This window comes from Homo sapiens, chromosome 4 (genome assembly GCF_000001405.40).
Source record: "Homo sapiens chromosome 4, GRCh38.p14 Primary Assembly".
NCBI classification, from domain to species: Eukaryota; Metazoa; Chordata; class Mammalia; order Primates; family Hominidae; genus Homo; species Homo sapiens.
In genome coordinates this window covers 23,976,331-24,001,473 of record NC_000004.12, presented here as the reverse complement: position 1 = coordinate 24,001,473, position 25,143 = coordinate 23,976,331, and the positions used below count along the sequence as shown (strand labels likewise).

General features: G+C 38.0%; 1 protein-coding gene across 15 annotated transcripts in view, besides 3 other annotated features; it reads left to right on the top strand.

Moving 5' to 3' along the window:
• Window positions 1-25,143, top strand: part of PPARGC1A (PPARG coactivator 1 alpha) — a 680,885-nt gene that overhangs the window by 471,432 nt on the left and 184,310 nt on the right. The window lies entirely within an intron of this gene.
• Window positions 1,053-2,252: an enhancer, noted in NCBI's record as "CDK7 strongly-dependent group 2 enhancer chr4:24000845-24002044 (GRCh37/hg19 assembly coordinates)". NCBI's record gives its function as "activates an origin of replication core promoter dependent on BRD2, BRD4, P300/CBP, MED14 and CDK7 cofactors, with strong dependence on CDK7, by STARR-seq in HCT116 cells {active_cell/tissue: HCT116}" and the evidence as "EXISTENCE:reporter gene assay evidence [ECO:0000049][PMID:35650434]".
• Window positions 21,390-22,092: an enhancer, noted in NCBI's record as "OCT4-NANOG hESC enhancer chr4:23981005-23981707 (GRCh37/hg19 assembly coordinates)". NCBI's record gives its function as "activates a minimal SCP1, AML or CMV promoter by ChIP-STARR-seq in naive H9 embryonic stem cells {active_cell/tissue: H9 hESC(naive)}" and the evidence as "EXISTENCE:reporter gene assay evidence [ECO:0000049][PMID:30033119]".
• Window positions 21,634-21,928: a silencer, noted in NCBI's record as "tiled region #9076; K562 Repressive non-DNase unmatched - State 24:Quies". NCBI's record gives its function as "represses a minimal TATA promoter and a strong SV40 promoter by Sharpr-MPRA in K562 cells {active_cell/tissue: K562}" and the evidence as "EXISTENCE:reporter gene assay evidence [ECO:0000049][PMID:27701403]".

Here is a 25,143-nt window from a genome sequence, read left to right as displayed (position 1 = left end):
GACGTTCTCACTTAAAAAAATTACCAGGAGAAAAAAAAATCATTTGAGTTTGCTCTCTCTGTTTCTTACAAGGGCAATCTATATAGTTCGGTAGGAGAGCTTGTGATAGGTGCCAGTGTCAGCAAAGCACTCAAGGTGCTACACAGATTCAACGTGGAAAAATAAAGGTGCATCTTGAAGATGTGAATTATTTCCTCCCCACTTCCACCAATTAATAGCATATTATAACAAAGAAAATCATTAAAACATGAAGGTGTGTTTTTGCAAGTCACATTTATCAAACATGGTAAGGTAATCTTGAGCTCTATTAGTTCCTGTGTATTTTTAACATGATATATGGATTTTCCTTTTCTATTGTTCAAACATGAAAATGTTTTAAAAAGAAAAACATGCCTTTATTGCCATTTTTTAAAGTATTGAAGGGGATAAAAAGGAAAGTGTAATAAGAGCAGTATATTTTTATGTCAAAAGTAACCTTTCTATAGTACTCTTTAGATAAAACTGAATATTGGAAAAGAAAAGGAAAGATAAGTAGCTCCCTTATTCATCTTAGTCCAAAATCTATTTTGCTCACTGCTGGTTGTTGGCATTGTGTGATGATGTGACATAGTACCAGAGGATCAGATTATCAGAAAAGAAAAGGAGATTCCCAATTTAATAGTTACTCACTGAAATTTTCCCCTTATCTCTATATCACAGAAAAATAAGTAGTTGTTAAATTTCAAATCCTGCAGTCTTTCTGATTTATCATCAAATCGTGGATGCACTTAGCTGCCTAGCGTCAGGGAATCCAATAAGTCCTGTCACGTAAGAAAAAAAGAAAAAATCCTATTGGATAATGGGTTACATTCTCCCCCACAGTGATTTATTTCTGTCACAAGACTTAATTTTATCATGAGGCAGATGCTCTGTCTGTATCAGTGCATTCTTTTCTGCATTTATCTGCTTCATTAAAAAAAAGCACCTGCTGCATTTTTAAGATGTATTTGGATTTTTTTATTATATGCCCTGATGACCCCATTATGTGCTATTTAAGCACGTGTTTAATTTGTACTTTTTTCTGAGTTGAAAATTCCTTAGCTGTTTTATAAAGTGAGACCAGTGTGAAGGAGTGCCGAGGCAAATGAAATTGCAAGGGGTAACTGTTATAGCAACAGAAGGTGTTAACATCTGAGCTTTCTGGTACCAAGTCTCTGAGATTCATGTCAGAGGGAATAAGCAGAGCTTAGTGGAGTTATCAAGTGATACCTAGGATGAAACGGTGACAGCCTCTGTTATGAAGTAATTTCGTTGGCCTGAATGTGGAAGACATTGTTGTCATTCACAAAATCTGCAGGTAGACTTAAACATATATATGAAAGAAAAAAGAAAGGAAAATGAAAAGAATAAAGGAAGGAGGGAAGTAAGGAAGGTAGGAAAGAAGGAAGGAAAGATTTGAAACCTATCATTTTTATTCGCTCTGAGTCACTGTGCCTCACCCGAGAGCATTTTAATGACGTGCTTGCGTCTCATCAACTCGACCCTCCCTCCAATCTGCCACTTAATATAGATTCCACTCCTCTGAATAATCATCCTTGTTCTTGGGGCAGCTGAGGTCTACACGTTGGAGTCCTTCACCAACTGTCCTCATTCCAGAGGGGCGGCTGCGTCTACCTCTCCATGCTGCTCCTTTCTGTCGTCTCTCCCCATCACAGAGTGCCTTTTTCTTTCCCGTGCAAGGAGGTCCCAGGAAAAGATCGTCAGATAGCCGACCGTTCAATAAGCTTAGGATATCTGCAATTCCCATTTTGACATTCAGCCCAAAGGGCTGTCCTCTCGTTACCTGCCAATGACAAGTGACAAGGCAGACTGTGACTTCTAAGAAGTTTCCAAAATCCCTTTTCCAACTTCTTTTGGCTTCGCTTCTCTCCATTCTTGTTTCTTCGTCTTATTTCCCTTAAAACAACAACAACAACAACAAAAAATCAACCCAGACCATTCACATCTTTTTGGCATCAAACAGGGCACAGAGGTTAAGGTAGAGTCTAATGCTGAGTTTCCAAGATTTGCATTTTAGTGGGCTCACTGCAAGAAAGCTAATAGACAGGAAAGGAGACCAAGTTAATGACAATTCTCTAAACAGCTGTTGTACGATTCAGCTTCACTACTTCAGTTAATTAATCAGCACCTTGCTGGCAACTCTGGGGGAGAGACTCCTTAGATACTGGTAGCAAACAGACAATGCTTTCATATCAAATATGTTCAACAACATCTAATACAGCGATAACTTCCACAGAAGAGTGTAGGGAATACCGTGGCTTATAAAGGCACTCAGGAAGAGGCCCTTGGTATTCTCGTAGATATGCACTTGCTAGGAGTACTACATATGCTGTTTTCTTTGTTGTCTGTAACCAGCCCAAACGAAACATAGGCAAAAGAATCTCCAGAGTTCCTTGTTATCACAGATTCCTCTTTTTATTGTAATAAATAAATATGTATTCATAAGATTGATCTCAATGTGCATGACACGTAATAAATCAAGCGTCTACATTTCTGATTTTAGTCACAGTATCCCATTTGGAATTTTAATCATTGAAACAGTCCTCAAACTTGACAACAACTAAGGGAGATCAAAACGTTCAAATATAGGCCACTCACCAAGCTACCATGGCATTTAGTATGAGAGCTATTGACTCTTCAAGTTTTCCCTGGCTTTTTATATTCTGAAGGGAAGCAACCTCTTGTTCTCCCTAGGAAGTCAATAAAGCCATACATATTTTATGAATGATAATGCACAGAAATTTTAAAGAGACAAAATTATATCTATATCTGGCCCATGTACTCTAACTTTTCTGACTCTTCCAAAATTGTTGTCAGTAAATTAGATGCTGAGTTTAGTGTAAAGGTTGTGTTATTCTAGGTTTCCTGTTATCATGTGACCTACCATTGCTTAATTAAGAAGATATCATTTTGCATAGCTCTTACTTTACTCTCTCTTTGATACTTTATCCTGACATTGTACAGACAAGAAATTGTAGAAACATGATGGCTAAAAAAAAAAATTGCCGTAGGTTTGCCGTTATATGATACATACTTTTCTAGTGAAATTAAATTTTCCCTTATTGATATAAAGAGAAAGGTAATATTGACTGCAATAAGCAATATACATAATTATTACATAAATCTTAAAAAGACACATATGTGTATTTTATATGTGTGTGATTTCATGTATTTAATCATTTTCCACTCTGAAGGGATAAAATTGTGAGGTAGAAATTGTCTTATGTGTATACAAATTATCATGCTTTGCAAATTCCCTTTGAATTCCCTTCTCTGATATTCTTACAGTTAAAATTCAGTCCTCAGTTTTCTGTCCACCTGCCAGGGGTCATGTGGAGAACTTCATAACAAGAACTGAGGTCGTATTAGCCAATTCATTTGGACGATTTATCCAGTTGATTCATATGTACTGATGTAGACAATTATGGCTTCAGTTCCTTAATGAATCCTACATTATGGCCGAAGAATATCATAGATCTAGTCTGTAATACTCCAGGGAACGATAAAGAGAAATGTCCCTTTTAAATTAGCTTTATGGCACTGAAGCTTTATGTATTTACTTGCAAGTTCAATATTAACTCAAAATACTCTTCTTGAACCATCTCTATTGCCAACTACAACACTGCTTATAGAAAGGGATTTTGGCCAGGCACGGTGGCTCACGCCTGTAATCCCAGCACTTTGGGAGGCTGAGGCAGGTGGATTGCCTGAGCTTCGGAGTTCAAGACCACCCTGGGCAAACCTGTCTCTACTAAAATACGAAAACTTAGCCTGGTGTGGTGGTGTGCACCTGTAGTACCAGCTACTCGGGAGGCTGAGCACGAGAAATGCTTGAACCCAGGAGGTGGAGGTTGCAGTGAGCTGAGATCATGCCACTGCCCTCTAGCGTGGGTGACAGAGTGAGACTCCATCGCCAAAAAAAAAAAAAAAAAAAAAAGGGCTTTCTTGGCATATATATTTATTAAGGGTGAATTTGTTTAAAGAAAATTCTTGCCTGCTACAGTTGCTTTTGCTACAGAGAGAACAGGATGCCTCTTAATCCTGTAATCCTAGGTAATCTGACATACAAACCTTAGATAAAAAAAAGGATTTTTACCTAATCCAACTTCTCAATGCATGATTTACTTTTAGATTCTGTCCATAGATAGACGTTTTGCCTTCCTTCTTTTTTTCCAAATCATGTGTTCCTGATTTCTGAACTATTTAGAATAAAAAAAGACATGAAGCTTACAAGGGAAAGAGACAGTGGCAGAATGGCACATTGGTGATTGTTCAGCTTTGGTGGGTCTCAGGCTACTTGGAAACTATTGTTTCATGGCGTCTTTATATGCACACTCAAATCTTAACCAGAAGATGGCAAATATGGCACATATACTACCATGATTCTTCTGACACCCAGAGCAGACATCACTAATTGATCATAGCATCTTTCCTACAGAGCTTGCAGCCTTCTGAGTCTTAATGAACACCAAACTCCAGGAAACCAAATACTCATTGATCAAAGCTGGCACAAGAGATGAAGTTTAATTACTGTCCTTCACCTAGACTGGGTGTTGGCAAACTAGCACTCATTGTCAAATCCGCTTGGCCACCGGTTTTTGTTAATAAAGTTTTATTGGAATAAAGTCATGCATATTCATTTATGTATTGCCAATGGGGGCATTAATGCTGCAATGGCAGAGTTGAGTAGTTGTGATTGTATACCTAAAATATTGGCTCTTTGGCCCTTTACAGAAAGGGTTTGCTGACGTTTGGCCTAAATCTTTATAGGTTTCCTGTATCTAGGCTTTTCTTTTTTTGTAGAAACAGACACATTAGGAAGTGTTTTCAAGAGAAACAGAGTGGGGTTGGGAGAGGAGAGAGTAGGGGAAGTACGTAGCAGAGGAAGAACTCAAAGCCTACTCCCCAGCCAGGCCCTGTGAGATGATCTTTTAGGCTTTGATCAGATCTGACTGGCCCTGGCAACAAGAAGCAGCAAACTTGCTTCATGGGGTATTCTGTTCTGCAGTTCTGACTGGGAAGTCATTTTTGATTGAAAGAAGGTAAGACGAATGGATAGGGGGACTTTTCTCACCTGCAGAAGCCGCTATATTGTGTAAAGATCTTCATTTTCCCCAGCATCATACCTGAATTGGGATCATGACCACTCCTCAATTTCCATGTGACTTGGGACTTTGCATTATAATGGGGGAGCTGCTTACTGCATGAGGTTGTTAGGTGACAAAACATAGGAAAAGTACCAGTCAAAATTCAGTTGTAGTTAGTCTCCATCACCTCCCGTTAATCAAAGGTAGGAGATGCCATCATAGCTGTGAAAGTGCTTACAAGCTACAATGTCTGGGCAACTAAGAATTGCCCTTTCACTACTATCCCCTGAAGATGAAAAGAGCCTGTTTTCCCCTTAGCATCGCTAAGAATTTCTAGGATGACATTCTTTGCACTGTTGAGAATCTTCTGGATTTGGCTTACTGTCAGGTGTCCTTTGGAAGGCTGGTGAGAATTTACTTTTTCTTCTGAAGCATTCTGTGTTGCTAAAAGGGATTCTTTATGGATTTATTCAGCTAATCAATGAACATATAAAACTAAATATGGCTCATTTCCTTCCTATAGTCTACTAGAGGAACAAGCAGGTAAATGACAATCAGGATGAGGAAGGAAGGAAAGGGTGGGCTCATGGGGAGGCTCCTAGAGAGCCTGGCCCCTTCCCTGGGAGGTCATCGAAGACTTCCCCCACAGAAGGAACTCTTTAGCTAAATCTTGAGAACTTTGTGCAATGGAGGAGGGTGAAATGAGGGTTCCAGGCCTGTGTACTGTAAGGAGGTGACAGAAATGTAAGTATCAGAGTGAGAGGAGGTACACGCAGTTGGATGTCTCTGGAGAGTGATGTGAGGTGCTCACAAAGAAAATCACAAAGACCTGTATGTGCAAAGCTGAGGGAATTTGAATTCTATCTCCCATGCTACTGAGGACCACTGAGGGATATTAAGCAGGACTGTGACATGATCAAATGGTGAACAAGTCTTTAGAAGAAGACAATATTTTGGAGGTCAGAGAGGAAACTGTAAACTGAAATATTATACTTGCAAGGAGAATAAGCACATGGCAAGCTGGGAAAGTCTGAACAAGTGACTCCCACGTGAGGGATATGTATGTGTGCATGTACATGTGTGTTTCTCTTTTTCAGGGAGTCAACCTGCGTGACTTTCCCACGTGATTTTCTACTGTGTAGCCCAAGATATTAACAGGACCCACCAAAACCCACCAGTCCCTGTTTGGGCACTCTATTAGTCTGCAGCCTTCACCTTGACATGAGTTTTGATACAGTCAGTACCACTGGGGGTTTTTAACTAGAACTTGCCACCACAAGAGATTGATTGTAGAAAACAGTTTAGACTCACAATAAGTTATATTAAACTGCCAACTTAGGTAGGACACCATCAATTTCAAACATACCCTCGTAAATGTGTTCCTTTTGCTCAGCAATCCTTCTTCATGCAGTGAGTTGGTAAACATTTGAAGTCTGAGATGGTCTCTTTGTTACTCTGTTGATTGACTGGAATTCGTCTTTGCTTCTATTGTCATCTTCTATATATGTTGCAATGATCAACATCATTTGGTGATGTCTAGTCACTGTCATTTCTGATAGGACTTTGGGGTCCTTCCTGCAAAGCCTGACCAATTTCCTCCCTTGCCCTACAGCCTTCTTTCTTTCTTATGATGTTTTATGCATTTGTTTTCCCTGCATGCTCTTGCCTCTTGTATCCTTCCTTCTGGTCTGTTGCTGCATCCCTGCTCTTGAGGCAATGGGGCATATTGCAAGGAATGTGGGCTTTGAAATCTGACAGACTCTAGATGGAAACCTGAAAGTGTCACGTATTATCTATGTGACCTTTATTAGTGCTATATTAGTTGTGTGCTCTTCTCACCGCCCCCCCTTCTCTGCCCAATATGCAGAAATGTTTATTTCCACCAGGAGAGCCTATTTTATTAGTGGGAAGATTGACTTCCCCACAGACCACTTTTCTCCTCAAACCCCTCGAAGGCTTTCACCCCAGGAAACAAAACAGCCCCTTTCTGTAGTTCCTTCTTACTGATACACTTTAAAGTCTCTCTGCTGAATCTTCCAGGAGGGATCAAAAGAACTCTGGGCTCCTAGAGCTTCAGAACATTTCAAGTCTGCTCAGGAGCCTTTAACGGGTTACTTCCTACAACACAGGAATTACATAGACAGGGCAGGATGGGCTTGTTAAGCAGGACAGAGGGAAATGTCCAGAATATTAGTACAAAGAGCCTTTGCTTGGACATGAGGTGACCGGGATTCAAATCCTCAGCTTATTGCTACCTCATAGCCTGCATATCTGAGCAGGCTGGGACATTTTATTTCCAATTCACATTACCTAGAAACTTCTATTCTTTCTTTGTTTAACCTCAGAAGAAATTGTCAAACACAAATGACAACCTTTTTAATATTGAAGTCCCTTTAGGATGGAAAAAGTGTCTGATGGATTGTTTTAAGCCCCTAGGATACCACTGAGAAAATTACTCTTAAGAGTACTGAATGGCATCCTAGTCACTCAAGAAACTATTGTGCCTTTACTGTGCTGTTTAGGAAAAAAGAAAGCTTTCTTCCTTCTATCCTCTAAATTCCTGCTGACTTTCCAATAGCCTGGTGATTTCATTGGTAAGTAATGAGCAATCCCAAGAGCCTTTAAGTGTAGTTGTCAATAGCTTGGACTTGGAGCTTGGTTCAAACCCTGCCTGTAGCCCTGATGAGCTGAGCTGTGTGTCTTTGGGCAAGTTGTTTACCTTTTCCACGCCTCAGTTTCAACATCTGCAAAATGGGGCTGATGATAATGGGCCCTGGCTCATGAAGTGAAACTATGAACAGAATATTTTGAGGACCTACAACAAGCAGAGCATGACTAATTTCAAACACACTATTGAAAATATGAATTTGTTTTTAACCATTAATCTCACTTCATGGAGGAAGTTGGTAAACACTTTCTGATGTGGGATCATTAGATGTCAGCAATTTATCTTCCTCTGTTGCTCTAGTACACTTACTTTCTACTCTGTCTTCATTTGTCATCTTCTCTATACATTACAGGGGTTAAATCTACTTTTCTGTTCCGTCATTGTCTGACATTATGATTCAGTGTCAAAGGAAGAGATAATCTATGTAAGACACTTATTGCATTACCTGGCACAGAGAGATACTCAATAATTGTTACATAACATCATTGTTCCATTTAGTTTCTATAATGAGGTGACATAGAATATAGCTTTAAAAATTTTTTCTTATTACTATGTGCACAGAGTTTGCCCTTTTTTTTGTTTGCTTTACTTTGTTTGTTTTAGTGGCCTTTGATTTTTAAGGAAGGACATAGTAGGGCCAAGTTCCTTTAGATTCTAGTATTAGGATATCATATAAGGGAATCACAATTAAACATAAGCGGTATTTTAGTTACCAAGAACATCTGATTAAAAGTACCTAAGGCTCTTTGAATTTTTCAGAAAGTGCTTTGTGAATTAAATGTGTTTAATTGAACATAGAGACTGTGCTTTCATTGGCTCTTCAAATGTTGAAAGATTTGGCTAGAAGGAGCCTCTAGACTTCATTTCCATGTGTATACATAGAGGACAAGAGCAGCAGAGGGAAGAAGAGTTTAAAATGAAAGCAGAAAAGCTGCAAAGGGAATTGAAGGATTTTGATACAAGTGGGTATAAAATTAATGGGCTATATCGAGCCTTTCAATCAGTCTTTTAAAATGGGAACATGCAGCTTGTCAAAAGGTACGATTAACAATCACAAAGCCAGGCATCCTTCATTTAGCTGTGTCTGAAAAGATGGGCCCTGGTGTCAAACTGATTTGAGTTCAAATCCCAACTTGGCTGTTTTTTTTGGGTGCAAACTTGGTAGGCAAGTTATATAACTACTCGAGGTGCCAGTTTTCTGATTATTTTTACCTGAGAAACATAATACCCATTTTACAGGGTGTTATGTAGGCTAAATGAGATCATGTGTACAGTGCTCAGAAAAATGCTTGGCATGCAATAAAAACAGAATAGTAATAATAGTATAGAATAGTAATAATATTATCTGATAATAATAGTATAGACTAGTAATAATATTATCTGATAATAATAGTATAGACTAGTAATAATATTATCTGATAATAATCATAATATCAACTGCAATACAACCTGGTGTGTTCCTGCCTTCTGTACTAGTGCAGAGCTATAAATGGAATGACTGAGAGTTCTGTTTTCCATGGGACAGATGTAAGGAAATATGATTGAAACTACCTAAGGACTGACCACTTGAAAAAAGGGAAAATGCAGTAATTGATGCAATAATTATTTATTATGTTGTTCAGTGAATGTCATAAAAAAAAAGAACCCCAAAGTAAATTTCTTCCCAAATGCAGTACCTGTAAAATGTTTTGTTCTTGCCTAAAATGAGATAGCAGGAACTTGTTAGATACTAGAAACTTAATGCAAACTGTTTCGTGCTTTGAGGTTGCAGCCTTCCTCAGCTAAGATTTCTTGCTATTTTTTTCTTTTCGTTCCTCTTTCTTTATGTCTTGACTTCTTACCTTTATCACACGTTAAATTTTCATTCTAGTTGTTGAAACACTTGGAGTGTAAAGGAGAGATCATGGCAATGGGTTTCAGAAGCCTGTGCTCACATTTCTGCCATGCCTCTTGTTAGTGTGATGTTTTGAGCAACTTATTTAAGCTGTCCCAGTCTCAGTGTTCTCAGTGGTCAAATGAAACTCTTAAAATTAGTTTGCAGGGTTGTTGGGGAGATAAGCTGAGATGATGCAGGTCAAGTTCAAGAGCAGGATTTGCCTCTTTGTAGGCTCTTGTATGTCACTGCCTCAGCCACCCAGCTTTTCCTTTTATGATCTCTTTGAAGCTCTTTCAAGAGGGAAAGCTCCCCTGATGCAATCAGAGTGGAGGAGCCCCCAGGTTTGAAGGGCTTTCCCTTCAAGCAGAGATTGTGTTTGTCTGAGTAATTTTCTCAGTGTCAGGTGCTTCTCTTACCTGGTTGATTTTTGTTAATTCTAGATTAATCAATTGTTTGATCTACTTGACAAATATTTATTGAGCAGTATTGTGCTTGACACTGTAGTATAAGGGTGAGAAACATTATTCCTCATTTCATAGAACTTTCATTGGACTTTTACATCCCTTCTCAAAACCACAAAGCTATCTGCCTTTCCCTCTCTCTTAATTGGCTTATCTATGGAGGAATTGCTATCATTTCCAGAAAGTGGAGTGGCTGTGTCATTTATGACTGACCTTTGAGGACTGGACTTGGGAAGGGCCTTCCCACCTGGTTAATATTAGTAATATGATTCTAGAGAGCTCTTTTCTTTCTCATTTTAAGTGGATATGTGAAAACTACATTTAAACATGTCTTCTACTTATGAGGATAGTTTGATTGCAGCTTCCAAACTCTTGTAGGGTGAGCTGTTTAGATACTTTTATTTTATTTCAGTGCTTTGGAGAACAGTTTTAGCCACAGATGTGAATTTCTGTATCAGAGGGAGAGGAATCTTTCTCTCTCCTACTCGACGTGGTTTTTGCTTTGTCAGTGGTCATGCTTTACTCTCCTCCAGTTAAAAGAACTGATTACAAATGGATGTAGGTCAAATTGATGAAAAATTGTGCCTAGGTCTTGGATGCTCCTCCATTTCTGTTCATCGCCTCCGAGTTAGTGATGCTTCCAGAAACCCCACGTCAGGATGGCTGCATACACCCCTGAGTGATGAGCTAGACCTGAGTGCACTAACTCAGTTCTCCAGGGATCAGGAAATGTTGAATGCTTCTCAGCTGGAACTCAGTCTCCAGAGTGGCTGGCAGAGTTCTTACGGTGATAAAATGGGAGACGGATGTCGTTCCTTATGTTTCATGGAAGCATGTGGCAATTTTCTTATGGATAATGTAGTATTCCAGTAATTACTGTAAGAACACAATCTATCCTAATGTGCCTTAGTTCTGCTTACTACAATCTAGGGTGCACTTCTACTGTGATAAGGTGGTGCTGTGTAATTGCTGCACTAATACATAAGTATCACATAATATACTGTATACAATATTTGCATGACAAAATTTACTATTATTGATATTGTTATTCTGTGCCTTCAGAGTACCTTGTAAATTATCAACAAAAAGGCTCAATTTATTATTGTTATTATTATCCATTATCATATATATAATATATGATGTGACCTCTTTTTAACCAAGGATTGGAATATGCGTTATATGTATTCCATGGATTATATATACATAATTAATAATATATAATGTATATTATATATACATAATTAATATGTAATATATATTATATATAATATATAATTAATAATTATAATGCTTATTTCTAGGGATATATAGATATACATATCTATATATAAGATACATATCTATATATAAATACATATATATGTATATATATCCCTAGAAATAAGCATTCATGGTAGGTACAAATTATTTAAAGAAGCTAATTAAAAAAAATTTCAACAGTTTTGCCTTTTGGGGTGGGGATAAAATTATCAGTTATTTGTTTTGCATATATGTAATTATTTTCTTTTAAATCATTTTAAATCTTGTCAAAGAATAGCCTGAGAACAAAATATTTCATACATTAATAAGTTCATGATATGGGGAGTCAGAAAATTAGTTGAGCAATTCTTTCTACAGAAAACTTTAGTATTCATTTGCTCATTCATTTATTCACTCATTCATTATTTAATACAGTAAATATGTATTGAGCAACAACCATGCCAGTGGTAAAGTGATGAAAAGTAAAAGCAATGTTCCTGTTCTAATGGAGCTTGTGTTCTTAGCAAAGCTATGCCATTCTTCTACACTTTGGTTTCTCTAATTTTATAAAATATATATAATAGTGTTTTCCACTTTTGTTACCTGCCCCTCTTCCTCTCTCCCCAATTTTCCTGCAGGATTGCTGTGCCTGTCAAAGGGGATAAGATATGATAATACTTAGAGCACAGGTTAAAAATGTAAAGCTCAAATGCATCATGCCACACTTCCCTATTCCCTTACCCACTTGCACTTAGTTATGAAGACAAAGCATACATTTAAAAAAAATCTGTCAAGAAAATGATGCAGTGTTCAACTGCTACAGAAACCATTAATTATTGACGTGACCTCTTGTTAACCGAGGATTGAAATGTGCATTATTAAAAGAAAACTTCACCCCAAATTCTAAAGCCAGTCATCTGAAAGTTTAGAAGGTATTAGATCTTGTAATGATGGGACATTAGAAACACTTTGATAAATATATACTTGCAGGCAACCTTTCCAGCCTTGCTTTTGTGCATAGCCATGTCTGCATCTGGAAATGTCCAAATGTAAGATTTGTTCCCTAGAGGTCAAGGATGTAGTATACTATTATATGTATATATATAATAGTGTATGTATACTATATGTATAGTATATATTACATATAGTATATATTTTATATATTATATATAATATAGTATATATTATATAATAATATCTATTTATATAAATCTGTATTATACTATTATATGTATAAATATTATATAAAAAATACATAGTAATATATAATGCTATTTAAAATATATGTATAATAGTATACTATTTCCTTGACCTCTAAGTGTGCATAGATTTATGTGTGTGTGTATATATATATATGCACACAAATATAAACACATAAACTTACGATGCAAATTATTTTTATGGTTAAAACTTTTTATGTGTTGTATTTAATGCCTGTTCTACATAAATATACATATCTATCTCTGTATATAAATTTCACATGAACATACCCTATATAATTTAATTAATCTTCAGTACACTGAAATTTTAACAAGTGTATTTTTCAAAGGTTTGTTTGAGGATGGTATTTGCATCTGGGTCTTTCCAACAATGTTGCACACCAGAGTTCTTCAGTCTCATTCAATTAAAAAGCATCTGTATTAAAAAGTCAGGAAAGAACATGCTGGGGGAATGTGGAGAAATAGGAACACTTTTACACTGTTGATGGGAGTGTAATTAGTTCAACCACTGTGGAAGACAGTGTGGTGATTCCTCAAGGATCTAGAACTAGAAATACCATTTGACTCAGCAATCCTATTACTGGGCATATACCCAAAGGATTATAAATCATTCTACTACAAAGACAGATGCACACATATGTTCATTGCAGCACTATTCACAATAGCAAAGGCCTGGAACCAACCCAAATGTCCATCAGTGATAGACTGGATAAAGAAAATGTAGCACATATACACCATGGAACACTATGCAGCCATAAAAAAGGATGAGTTCATGTCCTTTGCAGGGACAAGGATGAAGCTGGAAACCATCATTCTCAGCAAACTAACACAAGAACAGAAAAACACCACATGTTCTCACTCATAAGTGGGAGTTGAACAATGAGAACACATGGACACAGGGAAGGGAACATCATACACTGGGGCCTGTTGGGGGGTGGGTGGGCTAGGTGAGAGATAGCATTAGGAGAAATACCTAATGTAGGTGACGGGTTGATGGGTGCAGCAAACCACCGTGGCAGGTGCATACCTATGTAACAAACCTGCACATTCTACATATGTACCCCAGAACTTAAAGTATAATAATAATAATAAAGGCATCTGTAGATAACCTATCAGGTGCTAACCTTGAGTTGGGAGCTATGGATACCATGGTGAATAAACGTCGGCTTCTAATTGAGTGGAGAAATGAGACAGGTCGGAGGTAACATAACTTAGAAGTGTATGTGCTAGAATACAGGGATGATGAGATGCTCTGGAAACATACAGGAGAGACACTGCTTATGGACATGGTGGGTAGGGTGGGAGTTAGGAAAGGCTTCCAGGAAGCAGTGACACAGACCCCTAAGGCAATAGAGACAGAAATTAGGTGGATGCTGGGAGAGAATAGGGCTGTCTGAGCTGAGTGAACAGCATCTGTTAAAACTCAGAGGCAAGGAAAGCATGATGGGCTTAGAGAATCAAAAGTAATTCTTGAGGGCTGGAATATATTTTAGAGGGCACAATGGTGGGGAATGAGTGTTAATGTGATTTACAATATGCATGCAAAGGTTTGGATCTGTAGTAAAAGAAATCCTGCTACAAAGAAATCACCTTTTGCTGTTCTTCAGGTGCAGAGGGATTCCTCTGTGTCATCTGTGTCTGAAATGCAGGGCTTCCAGAAAGCAAGTGAGGTGGACAAACTCAATATTCTTAATATTGTTTTCATCAAGCGATTTTGCAATTCTGTGCCTTTGACTTGATATTTCTGCCACATGGACTACTATAAGGAAATTTCCATTTTGCATCCATCAAATATCTACAACGTATTCCCTAAGAGGTGTTATGGGACTTTATAATGGAAAGTAAGCCTAGATACCTGGGGATTTACTTTTACAACAAGTTCTGTGTTCATTCTCTTGGCAGTAGTATTAATAATGAAATAAACGAAGTGTAATTGCCAGGTTATATAGGAGAATTTGAAGATACAAAAGAGAAATGATATTCCTGCTGATGTCTGATATGCATTTTGTGGATTTGTTTGTAATTCTCTCTTTGAACAAGTCATTTATTTAACGTGGAGGCTCAATAATGCCTCATTGTTGAATAATATACTCCAGAGAGGCAAGACAGTATATTAGAGAGAATCCACATGCCTGAGTTAGAATTTTGTTTTTGCTGGATAGTGAACTGTGTGACCTAGGGCAAATTTGACTTTTCTCAGCCTCAATTTCATTATCTACTACTAAAATTTAGAGGCTGCTACCAACTGTTATCGTAAGACTGAAAGAATGAAATGAGATCATGTATATAAAATGCCTAATGTAGTCTAGGTTTCTGTAAGCCTTTTCTGTAAGAGTTTGCTTCTACCTCTTGCAGGAAAAAGTCTAGTGCTCTGAGCTTGTTGAGAAGTCTCAGAGTGCTGACTGCGTAAGCTGGCTAAATACTACACCGTTATCCTTGCAAGTAGAGACTTATTAACTCTTACTTTTAACTGAATGTTACCTGGAGTCATATACAAATCATTTTAATTTGAGAACCTGAGTCAAAATGTTAAACATTTAAGTTTAATTGATGAAGAATGCCACGAACCAAAGTACGGTGAAATCTTTCTATTTTCCCCTAGCTAATCTTTATTAAGTATATGTAAATATTTCAGAGACTTTTTTTTTAATCTGCCTTAAGGCATTTCAATTAATACTGTGATGTATCCCAGTGAACACTTTACCTTCCAAGTGTTTACTAGAAATTTTCTAATTTTCACGTTGGCACTGAGGGAGTCTTTAATACATAACTTACCTTTCCTAACTCTTCAGGAGTGCACAATCAGAGAGTTGGGTTGTTTTAGAACTGACAAAGGGCTCGGGGAGTTTCAAATCAAGTCTTCTTATCTTACAGATAAGAAACTGAGGTCTAAAGAGATGAAGGGTCATTGTCCAAGGTCAGACTTGGGGTTATGTCTCAGAACTAAGGCTAGAGGGACAGGTTTTCTGATTTTTTAACCAGCATATTTCAAGTTAATTTACCATTGTGTACCATAATTTTCTCATTAAAAAACTGGGTAGGGTATGATGTATGATGTGCTTTTGGCATAATTGACTCTCATGAGAAATAGCCCCAATTAGAACCATTATAAAGATATGTAAATTACTTGTTTGTTAGTTTGATGATCAAATAGAAACATCTCAATGTTCTCTTTTCTCATTGTGATTTGTGTGTGATTTTATAGTTTGTTTTTGTTTTGTTTTGCTCCATTGTCAAATTTGAAAACAGCTCCCTCCCGTTTAGATAAGTAATTGGTCAAAATCACAATGCTTATGGATGTGCCTTTATCTCTGCTTACTACATGTCTGTTTAGCTAAAATATTTTCTTCTAAAAAGAAGCTGAGAATCAATGCCCACAGTTCAAGTGTGGTCAGCAAAAAAAAAAAAAAAAAAATTGCAGAGATATATCTAATTATCCTGGCCTGGAAACTTCCTTATGCATCAAAGCCACCTCTGTACATTGGACAGTGCTGGTCCGCAGGAGCCAGCCTCTTCCACAGACTTTCCATCAGAATACACGCCCTGTTAGATGAGCCCTTCTCACTCTTTCTCATCAGGGACTGAGATACCAGAAGTGAATTCTGCAGTCTGACAACTGCTTTGCTCACCCAGTCGTCTGTGTCATGAATGGAGTGTGTGTCCTTGTAGAATTTACAATTTCCCATTTGTTTGGTAGTCTTCAGAACTGAAGAACAGCTGGCTACCCAACCGCCATGTAATAAACATTGATGGACTTGAAGACTGTTAGTAACTCATCTCTCAGCTTTTGTCCTCCAAACTTTCACGAACGTTCTGTAATCTTTCTTGCTTTTAATTCCCAGAGCTTTAATTATTTCCATTTCTGTCTTCTGGCCACTCTGAAATGTTTGTCAGCCTTAGATGGCATTGCGTATAGTGGGTTCGTCCGACAACTCTAATTCACATCTTCCCCAAGGCATCAAGAACTTCCCAATGCCTGGGGAAATTGCTCTCTACATCCTGTCTGACCACTGGCCAGTGTAGGCTGGGAGTTGGGAGATGTGGATTTCGGTTCTTGTTCTGCTACCAACTTACTGTATGGCTTTAGGAAAATCATTCCTACTCTCTGCACTTCAGTTCCCTCATCTGTAAAATGGGGATAAAAATCCCTAATCTCATCTACTTGAAGATGTTGAGAGAATCTGATGCAATTACATATAGAAAAGCCTTTTTTGAAAAATGAAGATGCCTGTGGAAAGTGATACATGATTATACACCTGGCTTTACCTTATCAGCTACCTTCTTAATATGACAATTTTTAAAAATTTATTCCCTAAGACTTTTTTTAAAGCATCCTTTTCTTTTATAGACTAGTTTTTTATTAGTTTAATTACTCTTTTAGTGAGATCTACAATATGCCAAAGCACACATGATACGGAAACCTTGGTAGGTAAATCGGACACAATCTTTATCCCCACTGGAAGTTGGAATAGACATTTGAGTAGATGTTAGAATTACTGATGAGATGGGGTTGGGAGAAAGAGAGAGGGAGTGACATTAATTGAATAATTTCAAACAAGCATAGAGTTTAGACTGTGAGAAGCACCATGAAGGAGAAGTAAAAAGATCTATGAGAGCATAGAAGAACAGGAATCCCCTGGTATAGGAAGGATTCCCTGAGGAAGTGACCTTCCAGATGAAACCTGGAGGAAAATGAGTTGGTCATAGAGCCTGGGGAGAAAAATTCAGGTGTGGATGTCCAGAAGATATGAGAAACTATTAATAACGGAGCTCATAATAACTTTGTAATCTAACTTTAAAATGTTTATTTTTGGCATTTTTGAAGAAAAATACACATACATAAATTGTATATATAATTTATAAATGACTAAATACATAAAAGAATGGGTGATAAGATGTTATTACTAAAGAAAATGTACAATTGAAAATGGTAGGAGAATACTGTGTTAGCCATGTAGAACAGGGTGCATGGAGGACAATAAAGGAAAGAGAGATGGGGCAATTTTAAGAAACTTCAAGAAGCATGGTATGGTTGGCAAGAAGAAAATGAGAGGTGCTGGTGGTGTGGGGTTAGCTAAAGAGGGAGACAGGATGGGCCAGGAAGAATTTTCTTCCTTCTTGTAAAAACACTGGAAAGCCATTGAAGGATCCCTTCCTCCCTCCCTTCCTCTGTCTCCTACCTACCTCTCTTCCTCCCTCCATTTCTTCTCTTCATTTAATTAATATTTCTATGCATAAGGCATTGTTCCATTTTCTCTATATCCTGTATTTCTAGAAATTCTTGGCTTAGATTTTGCATCTTCACATTTCAAACTTTACATATTTTGGCCATATGTATATAAAGAACTTATTCCTTGTATGAAAGTGGATGCTGTTTTTCTTACTTGGACTTCAGGTAATCACTGAAGGTGCACACAGCAATTCCTAGCATATCCAGCATGAGTTGTTGCTGCCCTGTGTGGTCGTTACCTGTTTTAAAGGCACTGCATCTGATTTTAATATGTAAGCACGTTATAATAAGATACTTGCTTTTGTCTCACGATGTCCTTCATGCATTCAGTAGTGTTCTCATAGAAGCAATGCTGACCATACACTAAGGGAAATAAAACAGGATAAAAAGTTATAGAGTATTTATTTCTGTGATGCCAGATGCTTTATATAATTTATTTCCTTTATTTTTACAATAATAATCTGAAGTAGGTACAATGACTACATTTTGCCACTGAGAAAAAAGAACATATGTGACCTACAGAAAGGTTTGTTTGATTTTATAGGTCAAAGGTCAGTTAAACTTTTTTTCTGTAAAGAAGCAGACAGTATATATTTTAAATTTTGCAGGCCACATTGCTTCTGTTGCAATGATCCAGCGCTGCCATTGTAGTGTGAAAGGAGCCATAGACAGTGTGTAAAAAAGGGGGATTGGCTGTGTCCCAATAAAACTTTATTTATAAAACCAGGTGGTGAGCCAAATTCGGCCCATGGGCTGTAGTTTGCCAAACTTCGTTAAAGATAATAATAATAATAAAATATTAAGTACTGTTACATATCAACTGCCTTTCTGTGGGTCAACTGCTTTACAGACGTTATCTTACTGAATCTTTACAACTCTCTCCATGTGAGTGTTTTAATCCCAACTTTATAGATGAGAAAACAAAAACTTAACCAGAATAAATAGCTTATTTCAGGTGAAGCAGCTGATCAGTGACAGAGCCAGGATTTAAACTCAGGTCTTTTTTATTTGTAGGCTGTTGAGAAACACTGCTGGTTGTCCTTCAATATTTATCATTTCTTCTTTTTTTAGTATAGCATCTCTGAATTTTAGCTGAGCTCACACTGCCCACTATAGACCACATTTCCTTGCCTTTCTTGTAGTGGAGTGTGGCCATGTGATGGTTCTAGTCAATGGGATGTGGGTGTGCATGACATTTTCAACTTCCAGGCACAGCTCATTGGAGAAAGGAGCATGGCCATGACGTTGTCTTATTTTTCGCTCCACTGGCTGGAATGCCACCATGATGGCAGGCTCTGGAGCAGCTCTCTAGACCATGAGTTAGAACCAGTGGATTAAGGATGGCTGAGTACCTGGAATGGACAGCATTTCAGCCTAGGACTGATTGTTATTTGAACTGTTATGTGAAACAAACTTTTCTTTTGTTTAAACTACTATTATTTTGAAGATCTTTGCTATAGTATCTAAACCTGTCTCTTGACTAATATAAAAGCCCATTTTGGAAGAAGAAGACATATTCTGAGGAGATTCTCTCTCAGAAGTATCTTTTGCTTATGGGTAGGAGTGGATATATTTTTCAGCACTCAGGGAGAAACGAGATGAAAAGGTGTCATTTTCTTGATGTGTGTGAGTCAAAACTTCTTGCTCTTTTTCTGCTTAATTCTGGCTCTTTATGTTGGCCTTACATTTTCCTTCTGGCCTCAGGACCCAACCTTTTCTGCTTTTCTTTTCTTCGATTCAGTTACTCTTATGTAATTCCTGAGCTTTCTCTTTTCACTAAGCCCAGCATCTCCTTAGCTTCCCTATTCCTTGTGACCTCAAAAAAAAGCGTGAGGGAATCTACTAAAGATCGCTTTGTGATCAAACTGATCAAAGCAAAGCAAAACAAAACAGCAAAATGAACACAGAGAATAATAGTAATTTAAAAAATAGTACACACATGGGGAAATTACAAAGTTTAAAAGTATTACAGCATTTCTGCTGTATTAGGGGGTTCTGGTCTCTGGTTGTGGACTCCTCGTTGAAGGGTTTGGACCTGGGCTCTCCCTTTCTGTACTGTGAAACTCCTTTCCTCCTCCTGGCCCCTTCTCTTTGGTCAGTGATGCTGATCTCATTTTCCAGGAATGCTCCTTTTCCAGCCCACACCTAATTTCCCTCAAGCTGCCCAATTGGCTTGAGTGACTATACAAGGAGACTTATAGGGAGGATCTCTATGGCAATTGTATCCTTGGAACATTTCCTTGGAAAGGTGATGTCCTATGGTTGTCTATGCTGTTTAACTTTGTTATCTAAGTTGAAAAGTAAAGAACTTTTTCTTTTGCATGTGTTATGTTCTTCTGGTTATGAGGTCAGCAATTTGAGATTTCTGCTCTCATGGTGTATTGACTGAAGATAATGTATATAGTATATATTCAGTAGGAAGCTGGGTAAGTCACTCACTTTTACTAAAAGTCCATTGCCTTCTCTATAAATGGGGACTAGGAGAAATACTCAACTGCAAGGATATTGGGAAGATCAAAAGAGATATGTGTAGAAGTGCTTTGCAAATTATAATGTGGTTTAAATGTGTTAAATCAAGCAGAACATTTGAGATGTAGATAATGAGTTACAAGGAGTTCAGAGACAAGGGAGAAATTACATATTAGAAAACTTGAAGAAGGTCTTATGGAGGAGGTGGGGCCATAAGGCTAGCATAGTGGACGTTTGTCAAGTTCACGGTCACCCAGGACCTTATGCATTCATACCTCCCTGAAGGCAGGAGACAGAAACTTGTTTCCCAGACTCCTTTGATTCTAAGGTGAAGACATGTGATCTAAGTTCTGCACCCATGTGGGACTTCAGTTTGGAGGCCAGCTACCTGAAAATATAGGCTCCACTTCAGAACCTGCTATCAGAGGTGGTAGGGGTAGAATATCTAGTGGAAGCCTCCATCCTATGTGGTGGAGAGTCTGTGGCCGGCTCCAAATGCCTTGGGTCCCCGCTGAGCTGCCCTGAAATGACATTTGGGCATTGCTCCTGGTTGCTTAGCTTCCAGCTTGATGCTCTACTCTTCCTGGAGTTTCTGGGAAGTTCTTTATATCCCTTCGATTGTATTTTTTTCTGTCTAAACTTGCACAAATGGGTACTTTTGTTTCCAACTAAGAATCATGGCTTGCAAAGATTAGGAGATTTGTTAAGTAGAGTGACCAAAAGAACATGTATATCCTCAGAATAGTGTTAAGCAAGAAAAGTGAATTTACTTAGTGAGCTCCTTCTAGGGGAAAGCAGGAATTAAGTTTGGGTAGACAGGGTGGGACCAGATGACAGGACCCTTGAGTGCCTCACAGAGGAATAATGATTTTTAAAATGATAAAGAAAGGGAGCTACTGAAGATGTTTGAGCAGATAGATGACATCACTAAATACAAGTTTGGAAGAAAATAAAGACCAAGCCATGTATCCTCCATTTTTTTTTTTTTTTTTTTTTTTTGCTGGCTGGGAGTTTGGATTCTAGCCACAGGAGTTGATGCTGTCTAAATTAATCAAAACAGAAAAGAAAGGCTACGGGATAGCTACTGAATCAGAGGAAAACATGAAGAACCAAGCTTCAGCAAAGTCTGAAGGGCCAGGGTCTTCTGAGGAGCCAACCGGAAGGAAATATTAAACAGTCTTTTCAGTGGGCTAATTCCCCTAATTACCCCCTGGCTAGGAGAGAGCCATCTACCCTGATTAGCAGCCCCAATAAGGCTGTTCATAGAGAGAGGGATGGTTCTCCAGAGAGATCAGGTGCGTTGAGCAGAGGAGAGAGGAGATATCCACTACACCTGTCCTCAGCAATAGCACTAAAGACATTGCACACTGGGAGGGAAGAGGCACAAAGGTGCATGCTGAGGCTATCTGAATAGAGGCGAAGCAAAACCATCCAAATGGTTATTTTCCCTCCCTGCACAGCCAGGATCCATGGCACCATCCCTCAATAGGTTTACAGCAGCTTCTTGTCCCCCCCGCAGGGTTGTGAATTGGGATCATTAAGTTTTAAGTTGCTCTGCTGTCTCCGTGTAAGTGATCGTGTAAATATCAGGATGCTGGATAGGAGAAGCAAGTAATGGCATGACTCTCAGGATCTTGGATTGTTGCTTATTAACTTACATCCAGAAAAACCTTCAGAATAGAACCTCCATCCCCCAAATTGTAAGCCGAGCAGACTTTATGTGCACTGTGTTAGAAAGGCAAAACTAATAATTGTAACCATGTAGATGCAGAAGCCATTAATGTTGCTCATGCCCTGTGGTAGGAAGAAATATATTAAAAATTGATTTTTGGTTACTGCCTTTGTCTGCATAACATTTATAATAAAAGATACAGGAGAAAGTATCCCTTAAAATTGATATTTCAAAGTATTTTGGGCTTGCTGATGTTAAAAATAAATTTTTATTAATGGTTTTTTATTGCATGGTAAAAGGTCCCGATCTGAATATGACAGTGTTATCTTCTTAGAAAAAAATGGTGCTAGTGTTCTTCAATAATTACATACAAGCCAGAAATTTTGCTACATTATTGAGTTAAACGATTTTTATACATGAAATTATCCTTTGAATGCAATGTGAGCTAAGTGTAGTAAAACGTGCAGCTCATATTTCCTTCTTCTATTTTCTGTCTTCTTTACTTTCTTCCCCTGTCTCTTTCTATATGCAATAGGGTGCAACTTGTTTCTATGTTGCATATATGGTAAGCAGTGAGCCATGTGTTTGGATTACTTCTTTGTCTCTGTGATTCTATTATCAGTTTACTCTTTTATAATTGAAGAAGCTTTTGTTCATCTGCAAAAAACACATTTCATTTTATTTTGTTCCTGCTGCAGCTTCTTGGACATGATGTGATGAACACACAGTCCTGCAGGTGTTTCACTCTCCCCCTCCCCAGTCGCTTTAAATAAAATATTCTTCTAAAAAGCCTGCCCCATTTGATGTGAATGTTTTTAGAATGTATCTTAGCTGTAATTCCCCAGAAATGAAGTGGCAGGGTGCACTTTTGGAGAGGTTTTCATTAATCTGGTATAGTTTTGCTGCTGATTTGAGTTTATCAAATAGGGTTATAACCTGATAGAAATAGTGCTGTCAGATGCTTGGATATATCATCTGTTTTGTCATTCCATAGATGATGTGGGCAAGATGGATCCATATCAGAAAACAGCCTTTGATTCAGAAGAGCCACAGAGGCTCGACGCCTTAATTGCCAAACCACCTAAAGTGTATAAAGAATGACATTTTATGCTGCCTCGTTCATCACATTTTTAGAAAGACTATGTGATGGATTAATAAAACATAACAAATCTTCTATGCAAACCAAATGTTTATAATAAATGGAGCATAGTCTAACTGTTCTGCTATAAAACGAATTAAAATAGTCTCCAGCCAGTAAACTCAAACAAAATAGGGAAGGATGATGAGGTGACCTCAACAGGCAAGAATTTTACTGTTGAATACATTATTTCCTTTTAAATGGTCCTCCTCTGTCACATTGGAGTTGGTTCAGTGTAATGCTAGAGCTTTTTCTTTAGCTAGTAAGGATGCAAATTGGACATTTGGAGGCTGGGGGTGGTGAGGTACTAACTATGGCCCTCATATCCGAATGCAGTCTTTCTATAAATGCCAACTGAAAATAGTGTCATTTTGATATAATTCTCTTCCCTATTGTACAATGTTCTAGTAGTTTTTAATATAACACCCATAGTTTCTGAAAACAGAAGACAAACTAATCAATTCTAATGCAAATTTATCAGGTGGCTTATAATACAGAAATGTCTTGAAAAACATTTAGTTTTTACCTTTAAATTTTTGACAAACAGGTACCATCTTAGTCGTCGAAGTAGGGGACAGAAGGACTGATGATCACAAAGCTGACTGAGAGTAAAAACATGTTTTAATTTGTCATATTTGTATTTCTCTTCGAGCTATCCATTGCTTTCTCTTTTTATTTAATTTAATTTTGTTTTAAGTTCCAGGATACACGTGCAGGACAAGCAGGTTTTTTCCATAGGTAAACGTGTGCCGTGGTGGTTTGCTGCACCTATCAATCCATCTCCTAGTTATTAAGCCCCACATACATTAGTTATTTATCATGATAGAGCTATCCATTTATTAGACACAAATTTTTCTCTCATTGTAGCCCTATATAAGATAGACAACTTTCCTAAGAATTTGATAAGTATTTTGTTGTCTGTTTATCACAGTGAGATGTTTTACAGATAGCTAAGCTTCCTTTTTATTCTTCTTCTCTTTAGAGTAGAGGTAATTTTACTTAAAATATCATTTTGCTTTGGATTTAATTTCAGTGAATGCGATGGCTGGGAAAGCTACTGGGTGGCAAATATGAATGGTTTTAGTGCACATGCAGAGGAAGGTGGGAACTAGGTGGCACTAATCCTGAGCGTGTGCGCCGGAGAGAGGTGAACTCTTCATCCTCACTGGAGGGTCATGGGAAGGTTTTTCAGCAGTAATAACTATTTACAATATTGTGGTCCAAAGTAGATACCAAGGAGCATTCCTCTCCTCTTCCTCTGCCTCTCCATCTCTTTTTCCCTTCTGCAAGTCTTCTTCTTCTTCTTTCTTCTTCTTCTTCCTCTTCCTCTTCTCCTTCTTGTTCTCCTTTTCCTCCTCCTCTCTCTTTTCCTTCTCCTCTCCCTCTTCCTCCTCCTTCTTCCTTTTCCTTTTCCTCTTCTTCCTTCTTCTTCCTTTCTGTTAATCAGAGAAACCGCAAGTTCTTGGAGTTACTGTATTAGTCTTCCAGGGCTGCTAATATAAGATACCACAGGCCTAGTGGCTTAAACAGCAGAAATTTATTTTCTCACAGTTCTGGAGGCCAGAAATCCAAGCTCAAGGTGCCAGCAGGGTGGGCTTCTCATGAGGCCTGTCCCCTTTGCTTCCAGGCTGCCACCTTCTCGTTGTCCTTACATGGCCTTTTCTCTGTGTGCATACACATTTCTGGTGTCTGTCTTTTTCTCATCTTATGGATACTGTTGGATTAGGACTTTACCCTTATGCCCTCATTTAACCTTACTTACTTCCTTAAAGGCTCTATCTCCAGATATAGTCACATTAGGGATTAGGACTTCAACACATAAGTATTGGTGGTAGGGTGAGACATAATTCAGTCCAAAACAGCTGCTGGAAAGGTTGTCTAGATAAATAGTCAATTCAGGCCATCGTATGAAAAGATATCATCAAACTTTTTTGGAAAGCAAAAGTTATACACTTCACTTCCAAGAGGGATCTCTTTGTGAAGGTGTTAACACCCCCATCCCCACCCTCACCCTCCTTTTAATATCCCACTTATCTTTCTCAGT